The sequence below is a fragment of the Homo sapiens genome, chromosome 13 (genome assembly GCF_000001405.40).
Source record: "Homo sapiens chromosome 13, GRCh38.p14 Primary Assembly".
NCBI lineage: Eukaryota > Metazoa > Chordata > Mammalia > Primates > Hominidae > Homo > Homo sapiens.
Window position 1 is genome coordinate 61,051,716 of NC_000013.11, and position 4,586 is coordinate 61,056,301.

Genomic DNA, 4,586 nt, shown 5'->3' on the forward strand with positions numbered 1-4,586 from the left:
TGAGAGATTTAAGCAGTGAAAATACCTGGTCAGATTGCTTTTAAAAAAATGCTTTTGCTGAAGTTTGTATAATAAATTTTAAGAAGCCCCAGTCAGGAAGCTATAGCATTACGTCTACATGAAAAAAATGCTTTTGCTGAAGTTTGGAAAATAAATTTCAGGAAGCCTCAGTCAGGAACCTATGGCATTGCATCTACATGAGAGTCTGTAGTAACTTGAATTAGATAAAGGCAGACAGAAATGAGGAGTGGATAGTTTTAAATTTATATGATAGAGTCAACAGAACTTAGTGATATATTGGGTACAGAGCTGGAGGGAGAGTCAAGAATGATGCTTAGGCTTCTGGCTTGAATAATTGGATGGATAAGACTCCCTTACTGAGAGACGGAGCATGAGAAGAGGACAGGATTAGGGAGAAGCTCAGGAATTTGGCTTTGAACTGGCTGCTTAAGGTGTCTCAGGAACACATAAGTGAAGTCAATGTGAGTTGGATATACAGCATCCTGATGTTATGAGGTGTGAACTAGAAGTATATATAAAAGTCAAAGAAATATGACTGATAACTGAAGACCGTAGGATACATGAAACTGCACATAGAGAGCATAGAGTGAAAAGAGGAAAGGACTGAAAACTGTTTTGAGGACATTCAGCATTTAAGGACTGTGTAGAAGCAGCTGGGCTAACAGGAGAAAAAGAGGAAGCAGGCAAAAAAAAAAAAAAAAGTGAACATCCCAGGAGAATGTGATATCATAGAAGCAAGGAGAGTGTTTAAATGATGATGGAATGGAAAAATGTGTTGAATATTGTTGAAACTCAAGCAAGATCAGAACCAAAGATGCCCATTAATTTAAATCACTTAGAAGTCACAGGTGACCCGATATAGAATTATCATAGTATGATAATGGGGTTGCAAGCTAGAGCAGAGTGAGTTAAGTAGTGAATGAAGACTGGGGAAATTGGTAAAGTGAGTGTAAACTAATTCCTAAAATAATTGAGGTAGGGAGGGATTCATGTAAATAGGGAGAACAGGATAACTTTTTGTAAATTGATGAGATGAATTTGGGAAATTTAACTGACCAATAATACCCAATAATAGCTAAAATGTTATGGTTCTTTATGATTTACTAAATAGACTTATATATTGCTTCTACTCCTATAATCTGCCCAACTTCAACTTCTTTCTGGCATTTTAGGACCTTTTCTTATTCCTCTCAATTTTCCTCCTCCTTCTTTTTTTTTTTAACAGTACTTGGTTTTAGTATTTGTCTGTGTCTTGTACCTGGGTATATTTGATCTCAGTTTGACCTACTTTTGGCCTTGAGTTGAAGGAACACATCAATCATGCTCATGCACAGTGACCTCCCAGTTTTCCTGGATCTTCTGAGCCATGGCAAAGAAGCCATAAACTGAGATATATAAATGCATGACTACACTGTCACTAGAGACATTCAATAGTTAAGTGTTTAATAACTCTAGGTAAGGAATTGTTCCCTTTCAAAAATTCAAATATCTCTACAAGTGGTAACTTTTTTTTTTTCAGAGACAGGGTCCTACTCTCTCACTCAGGATTGGGGTGCAGTGGCCTGATCATAGCTCACTGCAGCCTCAAACTCCTGGGCTCAAACCACCTTCCTGCCTCAGCCTGCAGAGCAGCTAGGACTACAGGTGCACCACTAGGCCCAGCTGATTTATTTTTTGCAGAGATGGTGTCTTGCTATGTTGCCCAGGCTGGTCTTGAACTCCTGGCTTCAAGTGCTGATTCTCCTGTCTTGGCTTCCCAAAGTGCTGGGATTACAGGTGAGAGCCACCATGCCTAGCCATCTACAAGCGTTAACATAGTCTATCTAGAAGTTCTCCTTAATACAACCTTGTTTCCCCTTCTCACATAAAAGCTGTCTGAATATATATTTTGTTCAGGGTTTCTGCAGAACTCAAATTTATATTCAGGGTGAAGCTGGAGAGGGTCTGAGATTTGACTTTGTCTCTTTTCTGATACTTCAATATCCTGATTGGTATAATTAAGAAAATATTCCATATAGTTTTAAGAAGATTAATTGAAATATGTTTAAGGGATTTTTAGCCACAAATACAAACTGTAACTGATAGTATTATCTGAAAGTTGAATGGAATTGAATCATTTTGGTTGGGTATGGTGTTTCAAGTCTTATGGGTATTAGGTTTTCTTTGCTTCAAAAGCTTGTAAATGGACATTGTAGTCTACTTTGTTTATAATTTATTTGCCAGTCAGTGCATCTTACCGTGTTACATCATAGAAGTATCTAAATAAATGAAAGTAGTAACCTTCTTACTTTTCCTGAAAGTCTCAGGTCATGTGATGAATTTTCCTGGTAAGTAAAATAGAAAGAGACTTTCCTTTTCCTGGCCAGGTGCAGTGGCTCACGCCTGTAATCTCAGCACTTTGGGAGGCTGAGGCAGGCAGATCACAAGGTCAGGAGATTGAGACCATCCTGATCAACATGGTGAAACCCCATCTCTATTAAAAATACAAAAATTAGCTGGGTGTAGTGGCATATGCCTGCAGTCCCAGCTACTTGGGAGGCTGAGGACGGAGAATTGCTTGAACCCGGGAGGCAGAGATTGCAGTGAGCTGAGATTGCGCCACTGCACTCCAGCCTGGTGACAGAGCGAGACTCCGTTTCAAAAAAAAAAAAAAAAAAAAGAGAGAGAGAGACTTTCCTTTTCCTTAAGGTCGTGTAGTATTGTCCTGACTGTAAAACAATCCATGAAAATAATAGCTTATTTTGCATAGCAAGTTACTTAATATGAAATACAATGTGTGTTACATACATTATAACATCTTATCCTCAAAATGACTTTTTGAAATTAATAAAATTGTATAAATGTGTAAGTAAAGACTTGGTTTGATTGCATAATTTGCCTGAAATCACAGAAGTGGCAAAATGAGAAATAAAGCCAAGACCAGACCAGAGTGTTACACTGCCAAAACACCATAATGGCAGTCTTTCTAATTCTTATAAAGTTTAATTTTCTTAAAGAAGTTATTTCTTATTTACAAAAGTTTACAGATATGTTATTGATTTTCCAAGTTTTGGTTTTTCTTCAATATTTTCTATAACCTTTTGGCTCTAACTAAACCTTATCTGTTAATAAATGTTAATGCATAGAAAAAAGCAAACAAGAAATGAGCATTTATATTAACAATTTAGGAACAGTTGATTAGTTCTAATACTGCCCTTTTTCCCTTTGATGGATAAGATTGCTTGCCGTTGTGATTATTTATTGCACGTTAATAACAGTTAAATTTCCTGTTGGGGAAATTGCTCCTTGTTCTTATTAAAATATTTTATAATCTCATAGTGTTCTTTAAAGGATATAATGGACCATGAAAGGTAACATTATTTCAGGAACTTCACCATCTGCAGACTTGCATCATGGTATTTATGCACAAAACTAGAATAACCCTATAACATTTGCAAATATCTTAGGGCATTTAGTAGTTTTATAACTGGTGTTTAATGTCTTAGAGAAACAATTTAAATTGCATTTATTACTTATTGCTGCTGCATAACCCATCATCCTGAAATATGGATGCATAAAACAAAAGCCATTTTATTATCATAAGGAGTTAAAGGGATTTGAGGGATGATCAAGAAAAAAGACCTGACCATGAGGTAGCAGTAACCCATACATGCTTTAACAGTCTTGGATGTGGGATAGTTTCTTGAAGCAGGAGTCTGTCCAGAAGCTACTACTACTCAAAAAAGGAGGAGGGCACGAGAACTTCTACAGGAAGAGGAAAATGGGAGAGGGGGCTTTTGTGTCTAGAATGCCTAGGTAATATTGAACAACATAGTGGAGAGTCTCAGGGTCAGAAAACTGGAGAGCAGCAGTACTTTGAAGTCTTTTAAGCACAAGGCTTATCTTACCTATGGCTGGCAGATACTGGGTGAGTTTTCTCAGAGGATGCAAAGCAGACAGGCTCTAAATGGCTAAAAATGCCTGTTTGAACTATTTTTCTAATAATAGTATATATTAATATTTGAGTTTGGCACTAGTGGGCTTTTAAGCTAACAGGTCTCATCTTGTAGTGAAGAATAAACATGCTAGCACCCAATACACAGAGGTCATCTTTTGGGCTCATTTATATAGCAATTATGCTTCCAATTCTGTAGGTCACGATTCCATCAGAATATAGTGAGAATGACTTGCATCTGCTCCTTGTTGTCTGGTTCACATCTGGGCTAACTGGGGCTCATTATGGTTGGGGATGCTTAAATGGCTCAACTAGAGTCATCTCTCTGGAGCCTCAGTTCTGGCTGTCAGCCTGATTCCTCGGGTCTTCGGGACTAGAATGTCTGAGAAGGCTTTTTTACTCACATGTCTGGTGCTTGCAATTGGACAGCTTAAATAACTGGGGGCTAGCCAAGATCTCCTTTTCCATGTAACTGTCTTGGGTTCCTTCACACCATGGCAGCTTCAAGGTAGTAGGACTTCTTACAAGGTGGCTGGCTTCCCCTAGAGCTAGCATTTCAAGACACATAGATGTAAGCACAGACTTCTTCTGAGTTAACCTTGAAAATAACATAAAGATGCTTATTCTGCCT